General features: G+C 35.0%; 1 protein-coding gene across 13 annotated transcripts in view; it reads left to right on the plus strand.

Annotated features, from left to right (window-relative positions):
* MGAM (maltase-glucoamylase) overlaps window positions 1-22816 on the plus strand; it is a 120230-nt gene that overhangs the window by 53045 nt on the left and 44369 nt on the right. For 11 of the 13 annotated variants that reach the window (XM_017012772.2, XM_047421011.1, XM_011516672.3 and 8 more), the window contains 15 exons: window positions 553-609; window positions 1160-1284; window positions 8223-8311; window positions 10673-10722; window positions 11135-11302; window positions 12732-12884; window positions 13222-13422; window positions 15192-15346; window positions 15996-16164; window positions 16438-16534; window positions 17268-17380; window positions 18641-18766; window positions 19910-20038; window positions 20294-20404; window positions 20749-20811. In XM_017012772.2, coding sequence (XP_016868261.1) covers window positions 553-609; window positions 1160-1284; window positions 8223-8311; window positions 10673-10722; window positions 11135-11302; window positions 12732-12884; window positions 13222-13422; window positions 15192-15346; window positions 15996-16164; window positions 16438-16534; window positions 17268-17380; window positions 18641-18766; window positions 19910-20038; window positions 20294-20404; window positions 20749-20811 — 1806 coding nt within the window. Of the gene's footprint in view, window positions 1-552; window positions 610-1159; window positions 1285-8222; window positions 8312-10672; window positions 10723-11134; window positions 11303-12731; window positions 12885-13221; window positions 13423-15191; window positions 15347-15995; window positions 16165-16437; window positions 16535-17267; window positions 17381-18640; window positions 18767-19909; window positions 20039-20293; window positions 20405-20748; window positions 20812-22816 lie in introns of those variants that run through there. The other 2 variants (XM_024446990.2, XM_047421014.1) reach the window with 2 other exon arrangements.

The following is a 22816-nucleotide window of genomic DNA, read 5'->3' on the forward strand; positions in this document are numbered from 1 at the left end:
GATTTGGGCAGACAAACATCCAAACTATATCAAGAGTGGTCCTATTTGTTGTTGGATTCTCATAGCAGATCCTGACTTGCTCCATGACGTAGAAACAGGATGGAGCAGTGACCCAACACTCACTCTAAAGTCAGGCTGATCGGGATGTGATTGTTGTCTCTGCCACTTTGAGCCTGTGTGATCAGGGGTGACTATTGTGCTGGCTTCTCATCTGCAGAGGGGTAATACTACTACTACTAAAAATAATGGTACCCACCATTTGGGAATGTTGGGAAAATTAAATGAGGTAATCATGTAAAGCTGGAATGTTTGTCACCACACATGTTTTATTATTATTTTATGATTATTATTATTCCTAATGTGGCTACGTTTGGGATTTCTCTCTGGGTTGCCAAGTTACAGTTTCTATTATTTGTATTAGAGGAGAAGCAGAAGAAAGGCATAATAGCAGGGCATTCCTGCCCTCTCTGTGTATGATTAAGAAATTCCCTAGAGAATAAAAAGAAATCCATTTTATTTCCCTCAGGGGACACTACATTTTTTTAATTTCAGGGTGCAGAGAAAGTGATGGCATATGTGCCTGATGCTGTCTGGTATGACTACGAGACTGTAAGTAGCTTTGACTTTTCTTCTACTCCTTAAGACTGTAGCTGCAGCTGCATAGACAAGCTACCTTTCTGGAGAGAGAAACATCCATCTACATGCTGAGGAGTAGTTTTTAGTGTTTTCTGTAATTTCATAGCAGAACCTGGGTAAAGTTAACCTAAACCGTTAACATCAGTCATGATGAAATGTGAAAAAATACCTTCATATACTTTATTTAGCAATAAGATAGGCTGACATAGTATCTCATAAATTAATATTGGAGGAACTGATGGACAATGTGAGCTTGGTCAGGAATCAGACTATCTGTTTAAAACTATCAGTTTATATAATATATCAAATAGCCTCAGCATGGCATAAATTTTTTCACAAACCCCCAACTGGTAGCAGAACATGTTATTCTTGATTTTTTTCCTTCTGTTGTTTGATTGCCTGGCTAGACCATAATTCAGCTAATTGGAAAAGGGAGAGAGCTGTGTATCACCAGGCATGTAGATAATCAGTGAAGGGCAATATGCTGTCATGCCAATGTGTTTGATTTATCTGCATGCATCAGGGGAGCCAAGTGAGATGGAGGAAGCAAAAAGTCGAGATGGAACTTCCTGGAGACAAAATTGGACTTCACCTTCGAGGAGGCTACATCTTCCCCACACAGCAGCCAAATACAACCACTCTGGCCAGGTATAGCATGGCTGGAGTGTCCTTTCAGAATTCATGTCCTTGCTTAAACCCTTTGAATTTCTTTTCGAAACACACTAACAGCCAGGTGGTCAGCCTCTTTGGTTTGGCCACGACTGTTGCAGTTTTAGCACCAAAAGTCTCTTCCCTTGGGAGGCTTTTCAATTCTGGGCAAACCAGGTCAGTTGATCCCTCTGTCTGCCTTGGCCACACTGCATCCATGTTTCTTTACCCTTGACTCACTTGTTCTCATTTCTAGAGAACCTTGACTCTCCTCCCTCCTAGAATTTCAACTTCCTATTTCTTTTCTCCCACTAAGATTTCTTTCTTGTGATTCAAAAATTACCTTATGCAAACCTCAAATCTCCAAGTCACTGAATTTTCCTTTATATGTAATTGATTCCAAAAAAATAGATTCCATCTGTACTAAAGAGGTGCACATTTATATCTTCATGGCTTTGAGAGTATTAGCCTACTTGTCTTTAATAGACCAGGAGCTCTTTGGAAGCCAGAAACCTGTCTTTTCTTTTGAACCTCTCTTACTGCTTTAATTTTCCAAGTTGTAGACTTTTTATGATACTAATGGAAAATATCCCTGAATCCAATGCCAGTTGGCTTCCTTTTTCTAACTGTTCACCTTCAAGCTGTTCTGCACACTGATACCAAATTAATTTTTCCAAAATGAAAATCTCAACTGGTTGCTCCCAGGCTTGAAGTCCAAAGTCTTTCATTAATAGGGTATTCAAAACCAATCACAACCTGGTTTCACGTTACTTTAACAACTCTATCTCCTGCCACACCTTCATGTACATACAGACCAGTCATGCCAAAAGCTTTCTCTTTCCCAGACATACGTATGTATTTTACAACATTTGGGCTTTTGCACTTATCCTTTCCAACATTCTTTGCCTGGTGTATTCTTAATGATCCAAATGAAACTTTACATTTCAGCAGCAAGAAATCTTTCCTTAATCTTCCAGCAGAGGAAGCACTGCCACTTTCAAGTTTCTGGTCATTTTATATATATATTATATATATACGTATAATATATAATATATATATTATATATATACGTATAATATATAATATATATATTATATATATACATATATATAATATATATATATTATATATATATAATATAATATATATATATTATATATATAATATAATATATATATATTATATTATATACATATAATATATAATATATATACATATAATATATAACATACAATATATAACATATAATATATACATATAATATATAATATATAATATATATACATATAATATATAACATATAATATATATACATATAATATATAATATATAACATATTATATATACATATAATATATAACATATTATATATACATATAATATATAACATATATTATATATACATATAATATATAACATATATTATATATACATATAATATATAACATATATTATATATACATATAATATATAACATATATTATATATACATATAATATATAACATATATTATATATACATATAATATATAACATATATTATATATACATATAATATATAACATATATTATATATACATATAATATATAACATATAATATATAATATAACATATAATATATAATATATAATATATATTATATACATATATATAATATATAATATATATTATATATACATATTATATATATAATATATATTATATATACATATTATATATAATATATAATATATATTATATATACATATTATATATAATATATAATATATATTATATATACATATTATATATAATATATAATATATATTATATATACATATTATATATAATATATAATATATATTATGTATAATATTATATATAATATATTACATATATTATATATACATATAATATCTGAATATAATATATATATTATATATACATATATCTAAATATAATATATATACATATAATATCTAAATATAATATCTAAATATAATATCTATATTATATATACATATAATATCTAAATATAATATCTACATTATATATACATATAATATCTAAATATAATATCTATATTATATATACATATAATATCTAAATATAATATATATATTATATATACATATAATATCTAAATATAATATATATATTATATATACATATAATATCTAAATATAATATATATAAAATATAAACATAATATCTAAATATAATATCTATATTATATATACATATAATATCTAAATATAATATATATATTATATATACATATAATATCTAAATATAATATATATATTATATATACATATAATATCTAAATATAATATCTATATTATATATACATATAATATCTAAATATAATATATATATTATATATACATATAATATCTAAATATAATATATATATTATATATACATATAATATCTAAATATAATATATATATTATATATACATATAATATCTAAATATAATATATATATTATATATACATATAATATCTAAATATAATATCTATATTATATATACATATAATATCTAAATATAATATCTATATTATATATACATATAATATCTAAATATAATATCTATATTATATATACATATAATATCTAAATATAATATATATATTATATATACATATAATATCTAAATATAATATATATATTATATATACATATAATATCTAAATATAATATGAATTATATAGATATATCTAAATATATATATTATATATACATATGATATCTAAATATATAATATATACATATAATATCTAATATATAATACATATATTATATATACATATACTATCTAATATATAATACATATATTATATATACATATACTATCTAATATATAATACATATATTATATATCATGTAATATGTAATATATAATATATACATTATATACACATACGACATATAATATATACATTATATACACATACGACATATAATATATACATTATATACACATACGACGTATAATATATACATTATATACACATACGACGTATAATATATACATTATATACACATACGACGTATAATATATACATTATATACACATACGACGTATAATATATACATTATATACACATACGACGTTTAATATATACATTATATACACATACGACGTATAATATATACATTATATACACATACGACGTATAATATATACATTATATACACATACGACGTATAATATATACATTATATACACATACGACGTATAATACATTATATACACATACGACGTATAATATATACATTATATACACATACGACGTATAATATGTACATTATATACACATACGACGTATAATATATACATTATATACACATACGACATATAATATATAATATATACATTATATACACATACGACATATAATATATACATTATATACACATACGACATATAATATATACATTATATACACATACGACATATAATATATACTATATATAATATACACATACGATATATAATATATAATATATATATAATATACACATACGATATATGATATATAATGAATATTATATACACATACGATATATGATATATAATGAATATTATATACACATACGATATATATAATGAATATTATATACACATACGATATATGATATATAATGTATATTATATACACTTACGATATATGATATATAATGTATATTATACACTTACGATATATGATATATAATGTATATTATATACACGTGTAATATATGATATATAATGTATATTATATACACGTGTAATATATGATATATAATGTATATTATATACACGTGTAATATATGATATATAATGTATATTATATACACGTGTAATATATGATGTATAATGAATATTATATACACGTGTAATATATGATGTATAATGAATATTATATACACGTGTAATATATGATATATAATGTATATTATATACACGTGTAATATATGATATATAATGTATATTATATACACGTGTAATATATGATATATAATGTATATTACATACACGTGTAATATATGATATATAATGTATATTACATACACGTGTAATATATGATATATAATGTATATTATATACACGTGTAATATATGATATATAATGTATATTATATACACGTGTAATATATGATATATAATGTATATTATATACACGTGTAATATATGATATATAATATGTATATTGTATACACGTGTAATATATGATATATAATATGTATATTATATATACGTGTAATATATGATATATAATATGTATATTATATATACGTGCAATATATGATATATAATATGTATATTATATATCATATATGTGATATATAATATATATATTATATAACATATATGATATATAATATATATTATATAACATATATGTATATAATATATATTATATATCATATAATATATGATATATAATATATATTATATATACCTATAATATATGATATATAATATATATTATATGTACCTATAATATATGATATATAATATATATTATATGTCCCTATAATACATGATATATAATATATATTATATATCCCTATAATACATGATATATTATATATATTATATATACCTATAATACATGATATATTATATATACCTATAATACATGATATATTATATATATTATATATACATACAATATATGATATTATATATTACATATACATATAATATATGATATAATATATATTATATATACATACAATATATGAATATATAATATATATTATATATACATACAATATATGAATATATAATATATATTATATACATACAATATATGAATATATAATATATATTATATACATACAATATATGAATATATAATATATATTATATACATACAATATATGAATATATAATATATAATATATACATACAATGTATGAATATATAATATATATCATATATACATACAATGTATGAATATATAATATACATATCGTATATACATACAATGTATGAATATATGATATATATTATATATACATACAATATGTAATATATATATTATATATACATACAATATGTAATATATATATTATGTATACATACAATATGTAATATATATATTATGTATACATACAATATGTAATATATATTATGTATACATACAATATGTAATATATATTATGTATACATACAATATGTAATATATATTATGTATACATACAATATGTAATATATATTATATATACATACAATATGTAATATAATATATAATATAGAAATTTATATGTGTAATTATATATTTATTTTTATATTTATATATTTATTATATATTTATATATTATATATATATTTATATTATATTTTTGTTTTGTTTTGTTTTTTGCTCCTTAGATGATTTTGTCTTTCTTCTTTAATACTGTTAGTATTTCAAGAACAGTTGTATACTCTGTGCTTGAAAATTTTATTATCTGAAATGTTTAGGGGAGTCTAAGTCTATTGTTAGTTAACTTTGTTGACTTTCTTTCATGTTGACTTATTACCTTGTGTGCTTGGTGATCTTATTTTTTTTAAGCTGTGATAATCTTATAACTGTGGGTCTCATTCCTCCAGAGATGATTTGCCTTCTCCTCTGTGTGCAAGCCAAGAATTGCTTCCAACTGGCATTATGTTAGCTTCCTTCAAGGATCTCAGCTTCATGTGGGAATCAGAGGTTCACATTCTCTACCTTGGATCACTAGGCTTAGTAGCCCAATTTTAACCTTGCTATGGGAATTTGCCACACGGAGATTCTAGGTTTTGCTTACTAAGCCCCCTTTTGGTTTTAGCTCAGTGTTTTGTTATCCTGTTATTGTTTTCATCTCTTGGATATATTTCTTACTTTCTTGCAAATCCAACAATATTTTAACAGGAATATGTGTTGTAATTTAACTAGGATCAGGGAATATTTTACTGGGTAAGTCTCCAGAAGAATATCCGGTCCACCATATTTCTGGAACTGTGGTTCTGGACTCCTAGAATATCCTAACTTTTGTGTTGTTTTCATTGTTCGCCTTCATTTTTTAATGAATGTGCCTATTTTTTCCTATAATATTTAAGGTCGTTCAGATCAGGGGTTGTGATTTATTTATTTTTGTATCTCATTGACTTCTTAGAAACGACTGCTACTCAGTACATGAATATTTAATGAAAGCAGATGTTTTTGCTGATAATAAAAACTAACTTTCTTGCATAGTGAAAGGCTGAACTGTGAAAGAATACAATGGAGAATATGAGACCAGTGACAGAGGAGAAACAAGAAGAGCAGGAAACTGGGAGGTTGCTTAGAGCAGTGATAGAATGAGGAGAGACTCCAAATAAAAATTTCTCTCTTCTCCCCCTCTTCCTCTCTGTCCATCTACTTTACCATGTATTTGAGTAATGTTTTGTGTTTCTTATTCTAAATTATAGAGTAGATTAGAATGATTTGTTTTTCTTTCAAAACAAACTAATAACCAATAATCAGATAAGTTACTACTAAATAGATGGACCTTATTATATGTTGTTGCTTTCTGAGTATAAATGGTCCTTAGGCAGGCGAAAATGTGTCTTCCTCACAGCACTGGACACTTCTACTGAGGGCATCATTGCTAAAGTGATATAACTGAACCAGTTATTGCCCAAGATTTATTTCTCTTCTCATACTCTGTATTCTAAGTAGTAGTTGCAGAAGCAGCTTTTATTTGAGTTATTGCAGTGCCTCTGGTGCTTAAGTTCTTGCCTCTAACATAGATGTTATTGTTAATGTTTGGGGTATTTCTATCTCTTGTGACACTGTTGATATTAAAGATAGGGGCGCCTGTCAATTTTGTGTTTGTGCCTGAAGAAAAGCAGAACCATCTGCTGCTAGTAACTTTTCCAATTTGAAATTTGATGGAAATATTCTCAGCTCGGCTGGCAAAATTCTCTGACTCCTGTCTTTGTGTCTTGAATCTTGTTCCCCACAGTCGAAAGAACCCTCTTGGTCTTATCATTGCCCTAGATGAGAACAAAGAAGCAAAAGGAGAACTTTTCTGGGATAATGGGGAAACGAAGGGTGAGCACTTATACGATAATGTTGCTGTTTCCCAACCTGCACCTGTGACTTATGGTCCTTCACTCCTGCTGGTCATTCAGCTGTGGGAGAAATCTCAGTAGGCACAGTAGCAAGAGTCACTTAAGTATTTTGTTTCTGGTTGCACCATTCAGAGGTAGTGGTAGATGACCTACAAAGGAAAGAAAAATACATTTCTATCTCTGGCAATTCTCCTATTGGACAGTGATATCTATAATAGGCTTTTTATTTATTTATTTATTTATTTATTTATTTATTTATTTATTTATTTATTTATTGAGGTGGAGTTTTGCTCTTGTTGCCCAGGCTGGAGTGCAGTGGCGCGATCTCGGCTCACTGCAACCTCTGCCTCCCAGGCTCAAGTGATTCTTCTGTCTCAGCCTCCCGCGTAGGACTACAGGTGCCTACCACCATGCCTGGCTAATTTTTTGTATGTTTAGTAGAGATGAGGTTTCACCGTGTTAGCCAGGATGATCTCGATCTCCTAAATTCGTAATCTGCCCGGCTCGGCCCCCCAAAGTGCTGGGATTACAGGCATGAGCCACCATGCTTGGCCAATAGGCTCTCTTTTTATTGTCAATGGGTGCTTAGAAGAGATGGTTTCAAGACTGTTCCCGTAACCCAATGTTAATGTCTTCCTCCTGAAATTCTTATGAGCAAATGTTGATGATATAGAAATCATGCCCCTGCCAGTGAGGCAGTGAGAATATACTTTTTAGCATATTTGTGGATCCAGTATACTAACAATTCCTGTGCTTCAAGTTTAGGAAATAGATTCCCTTGAGGCATATGCCTTGGAAGCCCTTGGAAGGGAAACTTTGCAATGTTCCAGTAGGAAAGAGAAGGAAAAACAATGGCTTGGCCTTGGAGACTCTTGTCCATCTAATCCAATGTGTAGATTTAAATATTTATTTTTTAATTGCAAAATATTTAATTGGCAAATAAAGATGAAATATATTCAAAGTGGACAATGTGAGGATTTAATATATATATAGGCATAGTATAATGATTACCACAGCTATTTTAAGGAACAGATCCATCACCACCCATACTGTAGACTGGATCCCCAGAACCTATTCATCTAATAACTAAAAATTTGTACCCTTGACCATCATCTCCCCAGTTTCCACACCTGCAGGCTCTAAGAACAACAGTTATACTGTCTGCTTCTAGGAGCTCAACTTTTTTAGGTTTCACATGTAAGTGAGACCATGCAGTACTTGACTTTCTGTCTCTGGCTTATTTCACTTAGTATAACGTCCTCTAGATTCATCCATGCTGTTGCAAATGGCAGAATTTTCTTCTTTTTATGTCTGAATAATATTCTATTGTATATATATACCACAATTTCTTTATTCATTCATCCATTGATGGACACTTAGGTTATTTTCATATCTTTGCTACTGTGCAGAAGTAAAATTAAAAACTTAAATGTAAGGGTTGAAATTGTAAAGCTCCTAGAAGAACACAGGAAACAACCTCCTTGACATTAGTCTTGGCAATGACTTTTTGGATATGATACCAAAAGCAAAGGCAAAATAGCAAATAATAAACAAGCATGACTACATCAAACTAAAAGGCTTCTGCACAGGAAAATAAATAATCAACAAAGTGAAAAGGCAAACTACAGAATGGATAAAAATGTTTGCAAACCATGTATCTCAGAAGAGATTAATATAAAAAAATAAGGAACTCATGCAACTCAGTAGCAAAAGATCAAATGACCCAATTAAAAAGTGGGTGAAGGACCTGAACAGATGTTTTTCCAAGGAAGACATACAAGTGGCTAACTGGCATGTGAAAAGATGCTCAACATCAGTAAGTGACACAGGTATGCAAATAAAAAATTACAGTGAGCTACCACCTCACACCTGTTAGCATGGAAATAATAAAAAAGATAAGAGATAAGTGCTGGCGAGGATGTGGAGAAAATGGAATTTTTGTAGACTGTTGGTGAGAATGTAAATTGTTACAACCGTTATGGAAAATAGTATGCATGTTCCTCAAAAAATTAACAGAACTTCCATACAATCCCATGAAATCCCACTTCTGGGTGTATATCCAGAGGACATGAAACCAGTATCTTTAAGAGATACAGTCACTCCCACGTTCATTACAGCATTATGTGCAACAACCAAGATATAGAAACAATCTAATTATACATTGATGAATGAATGAATAAAGAAATGTGATACACATATACAATTGAAAATTATTCATCCATAAGGAAAAGGAAAACTGCTATGTGTGACCTCAAGGCATAGCTGAAAGGAGTGGTAGGGTGAAATCTGTTCTTCTGAGGTGGGCAGGCCAGAATCTGACTTGTCTTTCTCTCACTTTCAGATACTGTGGCCAATAAAGTGTATCTTTTATGTGAGTTTTCTGTCACTCAAGTGAGTAGCATATTTTTATGAATCTTAGGTGTGGGCTTTGGACTGACCATTAGCACATCTGTGCTTGTGTATATTGTATATGTGTGATTATATTTGTAACTTTATATGCATTATTGGCTATAGGTGAGTACATTTCTATTTATGATTTCATCGATGTTTTCAAAAGGAGGCATTAATATAGCAGCTAGTGTTTCTGAACACAGTTTTTAAATGCCTGTGTGTTTTTATGATCGTTTTAAATTAGAGGATTATCCAAATAATGTTGTACTTCTTCAGCACACACTAGTAGAGAAAGCAGAGAGGCATTTATGGCAGTGGGGGGTATCCGGTCTGGAATGGAATATTTGAGTGACTTGAGAATCTGTGTATACTCATATACCTTTATGCATACTTGGACTTAATTGTTTTGCAGAACCGCTTGGAGGTGAATATTTCACAATCAACCTACAAGGACCCCAATAATTTAGCATTTAATGAGATTAAAATTCTTGGGACGGAGGAACCTAGCAATGTTACAGTGAAACACAATGGTGTCCCAAGTCAGACTTCTCCTACAGTCACTTATGATTCTAACCTGAAGGTAAAAACCCATTTTGTTGAGATGGTACATTGAGAATTCTCCATAGCATCGTGATGTTCCTTCTTGCCAAGTTTGCATGGGTCCCTGAAGGACCAGGGCACCTTTGAGGCCTGTTTTGGGGAAGTGAGAGGGCTGGGGAAAAAAATGAGGTGGCCAGAGCTAGAATGAGTTGGGTATTTTTCTTCTTATTCCCTTCTCTGCCTATCAGTGTTCCCGTCTTTCTAGCTGGTTTCACTTGCTTTTCCCAAAAATAGAATAATTATGATGAGACCCAGGAACAGCAAAGTTGGAAAGTGGGGAATAGCCTGACATTATTAGACTGTGAATTTTGTATGACTAGCACAAATAAGAATTGGTATTTGAAAAAGGCCAGTTTGGATAGGAAACTTGTGGTCAGGTTTTGGAGGTCTTAGTTACCAACTTGATTTAATTCTCAAGCAGTCTCATATTGATCCTTGAATGAAGGCTGTGCTACTGTGTGTGAGCATTGTTGGGAGTGGGAGTGGGGGCTGGGGACTAGTAGAACAGGGAAGTACAAGATGGTTTAGATTGGGAGGAGACTAGGAGAAGGATGATAATCTTTAGAATGTGATTTTTGTACTCCAGACAAGTGAGAACTTTAACTTGGGAAGTGTTGTTTAAAGAAGTGTCAAGATAAGAAAACTATATAGAAAAATATTAAATATTTGAACTAATGGTATTCAAGGAAGGTTTCAGAATTGGAGTCTTTGGGCTTAGAGAAATGAACATGCTGGGATGTTAGAAATAGAAAGAAATATAATGTTTTTTTCAACTTTTCAAATTTGCCGTTGCTAAAATTGAAACCCAAAGAAATGAAACAGAATACCTGACTTACCCTGATGTGATTATTATGCCCTGTATGCCTGAATCAACATATTTCATATAACCCATAAATATGCATACCTACTATATACCCATTAAAATTAAAAATTAAAAAAAGAAATCATTTGTCCAACATTCTACAGAAATGTGGGCATGATAACCAGGTCATATGATTCTTATTGCTGTGCTCTTTCTACCACTCCACGCCAATGGGTGATACTGGTTTGGGCATTGGAGAGCAAGAGGATCAACTCACTTTAGGATGACATCATGTGTCATCTCACAGCGAGCTAAGAGGAGTCAGGGTAGAAAAGAATAAGGGGTGATCACAACAGGTTTTATTTGACCTAACTGTTTTCATTATGCTAAGTACAAGATTGTGCTAGAGGGGAGACATTTGACCTGTTGCTGCTAAATAGATTCTCCCAATGTGCAGTTCTCTTCTTATAAGCTAAAGTCATATGTTGCTTGGATGTTTGAAAGTCTGGTCTAATTTCTATTTTTTTTTTATCGAAAAAAAAACCTCAGGTCTTGCAAAGCCTGTCTCCTAAAGATGAATTTCCTTATGATTTCCACATTCCTACAGGTTGCCATTATCACAGATATTGATCTTCTCCTGGGAGAAGCATACACAGTGGAATGGAGCATAAAGATAAGGGATGAAGAAAAAATAGACTGTTACCCTGATGAGAATGGTGCTTCTGCCGAAAACTGCACTGCCCGTGGCTGTATCTGGGAGGTAACCATGCTGATGGGGTTTGTGTGCATGAGAATCTCCACACCTAATCTGTAGTTTCTTAAGCATAGCAGTGGTACTTACATAACTACTTAAAATCCATAGAAAGAACTTCCTAAGGGACAGGATCTAGATGTGACAAGTAGGTGGGGACATGTGCGAAACTTCTTAAGATGAATATTTTGCTTGGAGACAAGGAATTGAAATTTATGTTATTGCCAAGTGATAAGTGATGGGCTAGTTTTATCGTCATATAAAATGACTTTACTAACCCTGTTTAGGTTAGAGAACTTTAAGACCACATGCTGTGCTGATCTATGACTTTGGCCTTACTTTTCAGGCATCCAATTCTTCTGGAGTCCCTTTTTGCTATTTTGTCAACGACCTATACTCTGTCAGTGATGTTCAGTATAATTCCCATGGGGCCACAGCTGACATCTCCTTAAAGTCTTCCGTTTATGCCAATGCCTTCCCCTCCACACCCGTGAACCCCCTTCGCCTGGATGTCACTTACCATAAGAATGAAATGCTGCAGTTCAAGGTAAACACAGTACATGTATCAGGTAGTGATTAGACCCTTTTCAGTTCCATTACCTTTTATTGGTCTGGATCACAGAACCCTAAAATAAGTTAATCATGCTACAACAGACTATATCATTATCCAGAGAGCATTGAGAAATCATTGAGGGAACAATGAGACCTGCCCTAATTTTCATTTGGAAAAGATTACTGTGGCTACTGTTAGGAAAATGGTTGGGAGAGCAAGAGTAGGTACGGAGAGACAACTTGGGAGGCTACCAGTTAGGCAGGTCAGTGGAGGGATTAGGTTTGGACTAGACAGTGGAATGCAGGTGGAGAACAGTGGACCCGTCTGAGGTTGAGAAAGTTGGGTTACAGGATCTAGTGCTCAATTGCAAGCAGGTGACAATGGAGATGGAACATCAAGAATGATGACCGTGTTGGTATCTTGCATCTTAATATGGATGGTGCTGACATTAACTCAAATAGGAATACTGAAAAAGTTTGTGCTTGATCAATGTAAGATGATATGTTCAGTTTGGGATGCTGAATTTGAGATTTCTGTAAAATGGCCATCAATATGCAGTAATTTCATTTCTTTCCAGAATTTAATTGCATTTAAGGACTAGGGATGGACTAGCTGTGATGTCTATTTTTCTATTAAACTAAGCTTCTCAAGGACAGGAATGTGCCCTTTCCTGTTTGTGCTTCTGAAATCTACAGAGCCTGGCCGATAGTGCTGTAATGTTATTGACAGAGTAAGTGAAAGTGGTCAGGACATTGTCACATTGCCTGAAAGGTTCTTTACAATCTGACATCAACCCGAATTCTGAGTTCTTGTTCATCCTCTAATGCAGGGAAGAATCTCTTGTATGTTTGTACCCTCCTTGTAACACTAGCATGTTTTAGGCACCTAATGGGTTTGAAGTGAATGAACTTCCCTGGAGTTCTAGCCTTAACCATTGCCTACTCTACCTCTTGACCGTAGAGTAACTCTTTCCAAAATATGTGCCTCTTTCTGGCCCACTTTAATTCTCTCTGCCTTCGTGGTTGTTATTCTTCACCAGAATGACTTGATCTCCTTTCTTTGTTTGGTTAATGACTACCAAGCTTTTAATATTCTAGACTGTATTTCTCCCGTGAGACCGTCTCAGTCTCCCAGAAACAATGTTAGGCATTTCCTTCCCTAGAATCTCACAGCACTTCTACATAGCTCTCCCTTAGCACACATCACCCACGTGTTGTGAGCTGCTCTCTTTGACTTCTTATTCGCATGTGAATTTCGTAAAACCATAACACTGCCTTATTGAGCTCACGTCCCTAGTGTCTTGTGCAGTGTCAGGCAGGGGATGTAGTAGGTACTCATGAATCAGTTTAGATACCACTTTCAGCAAGGACATTCTGATTATTTTAATCAAATAGATTTCATTTTGGGGAGACAGGTTTTTTTTTGAACTCATAATGATTTTAAGTTATTTATATATACTCATATACCCACAGAAAATAACAAGTAACATATTCATAAATACCACACTGATTCCAGAATGATTTTCCAAGTCAGCAGCAATGTCCCATTGAGTTTATTAAGGTAATAGAGGCCTTAATAATGAGAAATCACAGAAAAATGTTAAATGTGACATTGTTATCTGATATATTAATTAAATCTCAGATATCATAAAGAAGATAGAAACATAGCATCTGAACTTTGTGTCCAAAAATCAAAAAGGTTCTGCTAAGGGTATAGGTTTCAAGAGTAGTATTGTTGCCTAAAATTGATTTCCTCTGGCCTAGATTTATGATCCCAACAAGAATCGGTATGAAGTTCCAGTCCCTCTGAACATACCCAGCATGCCATCCAGCACCCCTGAGGGTCAACTCTATGATGTGCTCATTAAGAAGAATCCATTTGGGATTGAAATTCGCCGGAAGAGTACAGGCACTATAATGTGAGTGGCTTCTAGTGTGACTCAGAGTTGATGGCTACCTGCGCCTTCGCTGCCAGGTCCATTGTCCTTGGATGTATCCTGGTTCAAAACATCACATTGTCCACTTCCAGATCCATGGATGAGTTGTTTCCTTCAGACCTATTCTTACAGGAAATCTTTAGCATTCTGGAAATAAATACTGAAGGAGTTGAATGTGCCTGAGGATTCATCCAACAAATGTTTATGGGGTGCCTTCTCTAGATTAGGTGCTGCTCCTTATACACAGCTGAGGTTTCTCTTCTCATGACAACAAATAATAAGTAAATATCACTTTGAGTGCTATGTAGAAAATGGACTGAGGGGTGCAAGGATGGAAGGCAGTGCTGGTGTGGAGTGGTCCCAGCTGTGATGATGAGGGGTGCTTGGATTTGTATTGTGGAGGACCACTGAAAGGAGGCAGTGACAGAGGGAAACGGAAGAATGATGAATAACTCCTGGGCTTTTAGCGAGGATATCTGTGATATTTTAATCAAATTGAGTTTCAGTTTTGTTTGGGATATGAACAGCTTCTTGGTAGGAATCAAGTGTTCTGTTGTCCTTGAAAAGTCACCTGCTGGAAACAGAGATAAAAGCTCATTTTCTGTTTCAAATCTGCGTTTTTGTGTTTCAGTTGGGACTCTCAGCTCCTTGGCTTTACCTTCAGTGACATGTTTATCCGCATCTCCACCCGCCTTCCCTCCAAGTACCTCTATGGCTTTGGGGAAACTGAGCACAGGTCCTATAGGAGAGACTTGGAGTGGCACACTTGGGGGATGTTCTCCCGAGACCAGCCCCCAGGGGTAAGGACAGAGCATTTGGGATCTGTGTCTCTGCTTCTCTCCACCCACACTGCTCAGGCTTTGGGCTTCATCTTCCCAAACTCCACTTGGTCATCACATTCTGCTTTTAGGCAAGTGGGCCAATTCTCAGGCTCCTTTGTTTCATGTGTTTAGTTTATGTGTCTAGTTTCATGGAGAAAACTAGAGCCATGTTAGCAAGCACATTTTTGTTGAGTTTCTTTCTCAGGCATAATGTCTTTTAAACTCCTACTGCTTCTTCCCATGACTCCCCAGTACAAGAAGAATTCCTATGGTGTCCACCCCTACTACATGGGGCTGGAGGAGGACGGCAGTGCCCATGGAGTGCTCCTGCTGAACAGCAATGCCATGGGTAAGGCCATCAGCACCTCCCTTATTTTGGGGGGATACCAATCATGCCTGAGTCAATTTACAATGTGTTTAGCCTAACTGTTCCTTGAAGGCAAAATCTTCATTTTACGGGCACTGCTGTTTATTTTTTCTTTGTGTTTAGCCTTTCTGTTTATTTCAATCTAATATCATGTAATAAGAAGATTTAACCCAACTCTCATTTTGGTAAAAATCACATAAGAAGGGATAGTAACACCACATGGGTCCCAAATATCCTGGAGGGCAGCTCGTGAGAGCCAGTTATATAATTTGAATTAGGGTAAAACTATGGGTCAGAGAAGTTAGTCTGGGGGTATTGAGGGTGTATGGTATGTTGGAAAATTACCTATCGGGTACTCTGCTCACTGTCCGGGTGAGGGATCCATACCCTAAACCTCAGCATCATGCAATATTCCCATGTAAGGAACCTGAACAGGTATCTCTTTATCTAACATAAAACTTGAAATGTAAAAAATAATAATTTTATAAGAGTAGAATGATAAAATATAGTAAAGTACCCTAAAGAGAATCAAACCCAGGAATGGGACCTGTAGACTTCCATTGATCTTCTTCAGTTCTGTGAGTATGATAGAAAATGCCTGCTGTTACTACTCTATGATAGGGAGGGTGCAGGAAGATGGAGAATGTGTGGATTTCAGGGGTGATTCGTGACATGGAAGGTGTCCGTGAGGCTTGGCATTTTTCTTTATTTTCAGATGTGACGTTCCAGCCCCTGCCTGCCTTGACATACCGCACCACAGGGGGAGTTCTGGACTTTTATGTGTTCTTGGGGCCGACTCCAGAGCTTGTCACCCAGCAGTACACTGAGGTAGGGGGAAATCCAATTGTTTATCAAGTACTTACACAGCACATTCTGGGTGCCAGAGTCCACATTGATTAGTATAACTCTCAGTTGACAACTGGAAATATTGGTCTTTCTTGGAGAGAGATTATAGAATGAGAAAAAATAAATACATTCTAATTATCATTAAATTTATAGCCTCTGTAAGCATTGCAGAATAGCAGAAGTTATAGTGGTACTAGTGGTGGTGCTGGTAGTGATAGTAGTGTGATGTTGGTGTTATTTGTGGTTATATGGTGATGATGGCAGTAGGGGCTGACGGTGGTGATAGTGATGTGGGAATGGTGATAATGATGGTGGTGGTAGTAGTGGTGTTGGTGATGGTGATGATAGTGGTGGGGGTGGTGGTAATGGGTGTGTTGGTGATGATGACGGTGATAGTGGTGGTGATGGTGACAAGGGTGGGGCTGACGATGGTGTTTGTGGTAGTGATGGTGATGATGATGGTGGTGTTGGTTATGGTGGTGGTGGTAGTGGTGGTGACAGTGAGGTGGTGTGAGGAGTGTGATGTTGGTGATAGTGGTTGTGGTGATAGTGGTGATGGTGGGGATGGTGGTTGGGGTGGTGGTGGGGGTGGTAGTGGGGGGTGGTGGTGACGGTAGTGAAGGGTAATGATAATGGTAATGGTGGTGGGGGCACGATCGTGGTACTGGGGGTGATGGTGAAAATAGTGATGATGGTGGTGGTGATGATGGTGATGATGACCATGGTGGTCGTGGCAGCAACAACAGACACTTACATACTACCAAGTGCGCATCACTGATTTATCACTTGCTGCATGTTAGAGCATTTCACACATATTAACTCATTCATGCATCACAGAAACACTATCAGGCAGATGCTATTATTATCCGTTATTTACAGATGAAGAAACTGAAGCACTAAGAGATTACTTAATTTTTGCCCAAGGTCACACAGCTAGCAGGATTGGAGCCTGTATACTAAGCCAGGCATATGTCTCTGATTCTGGGTTTCTTAACCAGTTATCTACAGTGTCTCTAGGAATAGCGTAACATCAGATTTTCCATAATTTTTAAGAAGGAGCTCAAGTCTAGCAGAAAGCTTTCTCTAAGTATCCTAGTGGCTCTATATCCTGTCAGTTTTGGTCTGGATTTCAATTAGTTAGTTGTCTAGCTTGGGGCACAGAAAAATATTCTTATTACTTGATGTAAAACTTCAATGTGGTGCCTCTGTTCTGAAGACTAATATTTTCTGTCTATTTTCTAGTTGATTGGCCGGCCTGTGATGGTACCTTACTGGTCTTTGGGGTTCCAGCTGTGTCGCTATGGCTACCAGAATGACTCTGAGATCGCCAGCTTGTATGATGAGATGGTGGCTGCCCAGATCCCTTATGTACGTTCTCAGTCATGGCTCTGGAGTTTCAAAACTAACCCAGGTGCCTCTGTGTCTGGGTTCATTTGTCTAATGTTTGTTGGATTCCATAAAGACATAAAGTTCTTTTTCAGACAATATCACAGTTAGCCTCACCCCAGCACAGTAATATAGGTAAGGGCACTTGTTTCCGTCTTCCAGAGATGACAGCTCAAGACCCAGCATGACTCGCCAGAGTGGGAGATAGGCTGGCTCCAGGGCTCTTTCTGCTCTCCCGTGCTTCCTTCCATTTCTTTCACTTGGCTTCAAAACATGTAGTCAAAAAAGTCCTTGGTTTCATAAGAATAAAGTATATCCCACAGTTCTTTTACTTAATTCTTGAAAAGACTAACCACAAATCAATCAGACAATTGTATATGTGAATACAACCTCAGTTCCTGCATCAGCTCTGAGCTAATAACAGATGGATTAAACAGATCCTGGGATGGGTTTCCAGAGGACATACATATGGAAAGAAACCTTATCCTTCAGTGGAGGATGGGAGGGGACCCAGTCATCAGAGAATTGATCCCATGAACCATCACATATTTAATTTTATCCCACTTTTCTATTGTTTACAGTTGTTCCATTAGTGGAATGTAGTGTTTCCATTAGTGGATAGTGAAATGCAATATTACAGTCTCAGGAAGAATGTTGTGTATGATTACCCTCAAGATTCGGTATTCCAAAGCAACTATACATCTTTGCTTTGTTTTGTAGTAGATTTACTATTAGTCCTGGATAATTAACAGTATTTTTCCTAAACATGAACCACTGATACCAGGGGCAGCCTCTTGGGGTAGGTCATCACCATCACTCCTGATAGTGGCAGTTTACAAAGCACTTTCCAAACCAGTGTTTTCTCTTATCCTCAGAATAGCCATGCTAGAGACGCATTCTCATCCTAGCTTGTGCTGACTTCGATTTTTTTTCTATCTTATCACTGAACATTTTAAAAATTAAGTGTATTTCCCAGCACCTGTACCTAACAAATGGCAGAGCTGGGATTTGAATGCATCAACAAGAAGCTGTCTGGAATTCCACCATGGGTGGTGGAGGGTTGTTCTCCTATAAAGCTTGGGCGTGTACAGCAGCAGCCTCTCAGCTCCCCATGTCCTCCCGCAGGATGTGCAGTACTCAGACATCGACTACATGGAGCGGCAGCTGGACTTCACCCTCAGCCCCAAGTTTGCTGGGTTTCCAGCTCTGATCAATCGCATGAAGGCTGATGGGATGCGGGTCATCCTCATTCTGGTTAGTCCTGATGTGAATGTGTGCGGTCTGTTTGGGAGCAGGTATGGGCTTTGGTGGAGTCAGAGTTATACTTTATTTCCATGTTGCAAGTAGATAAATTGAAGTGCAGTAAGAAAGGTGTATTTCCCAGGACTCACAGAAACTCTACTGTGCAGGTAGAAGCCAGCGAGTTCACCCTTGAGGAGTTCTCCTTCATTCTGTTTCTCCTCATTCTCTGGCTTTGGTTTTCCCAACTGACTTATGCTTTGATTTCAGGATCCAGCCATTTCTGGCAATGAGACACAGCCTTATCCTGCCTTCACTCGGGGCGTGGAGGATGACGTCTTCATCAAATACCCAAATGATGGAGACATTGTCTGGGGAAAGGTATAATCCTAAGCGATGATCCACTAGTCCCCAGCCTGAGGGTGGGTCACTGTTGGTGGGTCACTGTTAGTGGGTCACACGCCTGTGTATGTTATTTTTGGCCTTTTCTATTTGGGCTCTGAGGTCAGAAGCTCTCCTTTTCTCAATCAATATTTGTTGATACAATTAACGACTTTTAAGGTAATGTAACGTGTTATGGAGTTCACTTTTCTTTTATGTCAATCCTATGTGATAGTCAAAGTATTATTGCTCCTAGGAGCACGGTTTGTATAACAATTTATTAGGAAATACTATGTAAGGGAAATTGTCTAGTGCATCGCTACTGAACGTATTTCTCTCCATAGGTCTGGCCTGATTTTCCTGATGTTGTTGTGAATGGGTCTCTAGACTGGGACAGCCAAGTGGAGGTAAAAGGGTGTTTGTAAATTTGGGTGGAGTCAGGGTTTGTAGGCAGGGGCAGCTGTTCCTGGGATTGTGGACATGCCTGTACCGTGGACATGGGCTTGGCAAGGGAGAAACACTTAGGTGATGTGTCTTGGGTGTCATTCTGTATGCCTATTACTTTATAGGTAGTCATACTTTACTGGCCACTGGGATGTAGATATGTATTATTATCCTTGGAATTTAAGACCAGAGAGCTTAAATTATTTGTTCACAGTTTTAGGTGACAGAGTGGTGATTTCAATTCCAAGGCTGTCAGATTCCAAAGGCCCAAGAAATTCCCACTGGGCGATACCTCCTAGCAGTGCCATCTTTTCTCTGAACTGGCATACTTACTGTTGTTGCCTCGGTTATCCCTTTTAAACAGTCTTCAACCCTCGAAGACTGACTAGGTCATTTTCTTTGTATATCTTTCTTTTTTTCCCCATGAACAGGTGTCTCCATCTTCATACTTACGAGTCCTGCCCCGAGCCCCACCATTCCTTGGGTTTCTCAACTTTGCTTTTACCTGTCAGTTTCCAGCCTTATTGTAAAACTTGCTCTCTCCTGGGGACGGTTTGTTGCTTGTAATGGATCCAAGTAGTCCATGCTTCTGGACCTGAATTTTTTTCCCGATTGACTAAGCATTTCTTGCTTGAATGAATACATGGCTCCTTACAGGAGAGTGGAGAAAGTGAAGGCAGAAGCCACAAGGCAAGAGTTGAATATGGACAGGCAAAGCCAGCACCTTGGAGAACGGCAGAACATTTTTATGAAGTTGGAAAGGGTCATCCGAGCAGTACTTAGGGAAGTTCCTACCTCACGGCTGGCCAGGTTCCCTACGTGTACCCCGTATGGGATAGAATTCTGACTCAGCTGTGGCTGATAATCTCTTTATTCTAATTCTCCATCCCCCACCCATCCCGTCGTTTCTAACCCTGCCTGATCTGGAGCTCTCAGTTTCTGGTGAAAGGTTCTCTTTGTCGGGTTTCCTGGTTCCTACCTCCATTTCCTAACAAAAGGCATCCCTGGCATGCCCACGTCTCTCAAGATTCTCTGTGATGTGACCCACTGTCTTCTCACATCCTTGACTGCCAGACCCATATAGGCTGATCTGTTTCTGTTTTCTTATGTTCCCTTTTCTGCCCTTTTTCTAGACATCTGGGTTCCTACCTGCCCTTTATCTGTGGTGTATAAGAACTGGAGCTCCCCTAGACCAAGTCCTGTTTTTGTTGCCTTCCCCACCCTCCTCACCAGCATTCTTTAGCTCTTTCACTCTTACAATGGTGTGATTATCATAGAGGAGGCTATTTACTGAGACAAACAAAGGACTGTAATGTTCTATAACAAACAACATGAGTATATTAAAATTGAAGGACATTTACTTGCTGCTTCTAAGTGGTGTGAACCCACTGTTAAACACTGAGTATGTATTTTATCCCAGGTTCTAAGCTCAGCATTGTGGGCAATATAAATATCACTCAGAAGGATATAAAACAAACTTCTTACTCTCAAAAATCTACAATGTAGTTAAAAAGTTGTATCTTGAATCTTTCTTTCAGGTTAAGGTAAAAACACTGCTTTTATTATGTGAGGGTAGAGGAAAATAAAGGGAAGTTGATGCATCCTCTTTAAGTCCTCTCAATTTATGTTACACACAGCTGTAGTTGTCATGTGATTCTGAAATCGTAGAAAACACTGAGGCGTACTTGTCTAATATCCAGAAATGTAATCTTATTCCTTCCTCCCCTCTCTCAGTGGGAATGACATAGGAGGGAGTCCCTGGGTGTTTCTTCCTAACCTATTACCATGCATCTCATGTCTGCAGTCTCTCCCTGGCTTTGTCTTTGAGGAGTGCATAGGAAATGGCAGGACTGACGTTGAGGGTTGGGCATCGAGTGCATGAGGTCACTAGTTCGGGTCATTGATTGTCATCATCCACGTGTATAGGAAGAGAACAGTTTTTGGATGTTTTCCAAATGCTGGGAAGGT

This window comes from Homo sapiens, chromosome 7 (genome assembly GCF_000001405.40).
Source record: "Homo sapiens chromosome 7, GRCh38.p14 Primary Assembly".
Classification (NCBI taxonomy): Eukaryota; Metazoa; Chordata; class Mammalia; order Primates; family Hominidae; genus Homo; species Homo sapiens.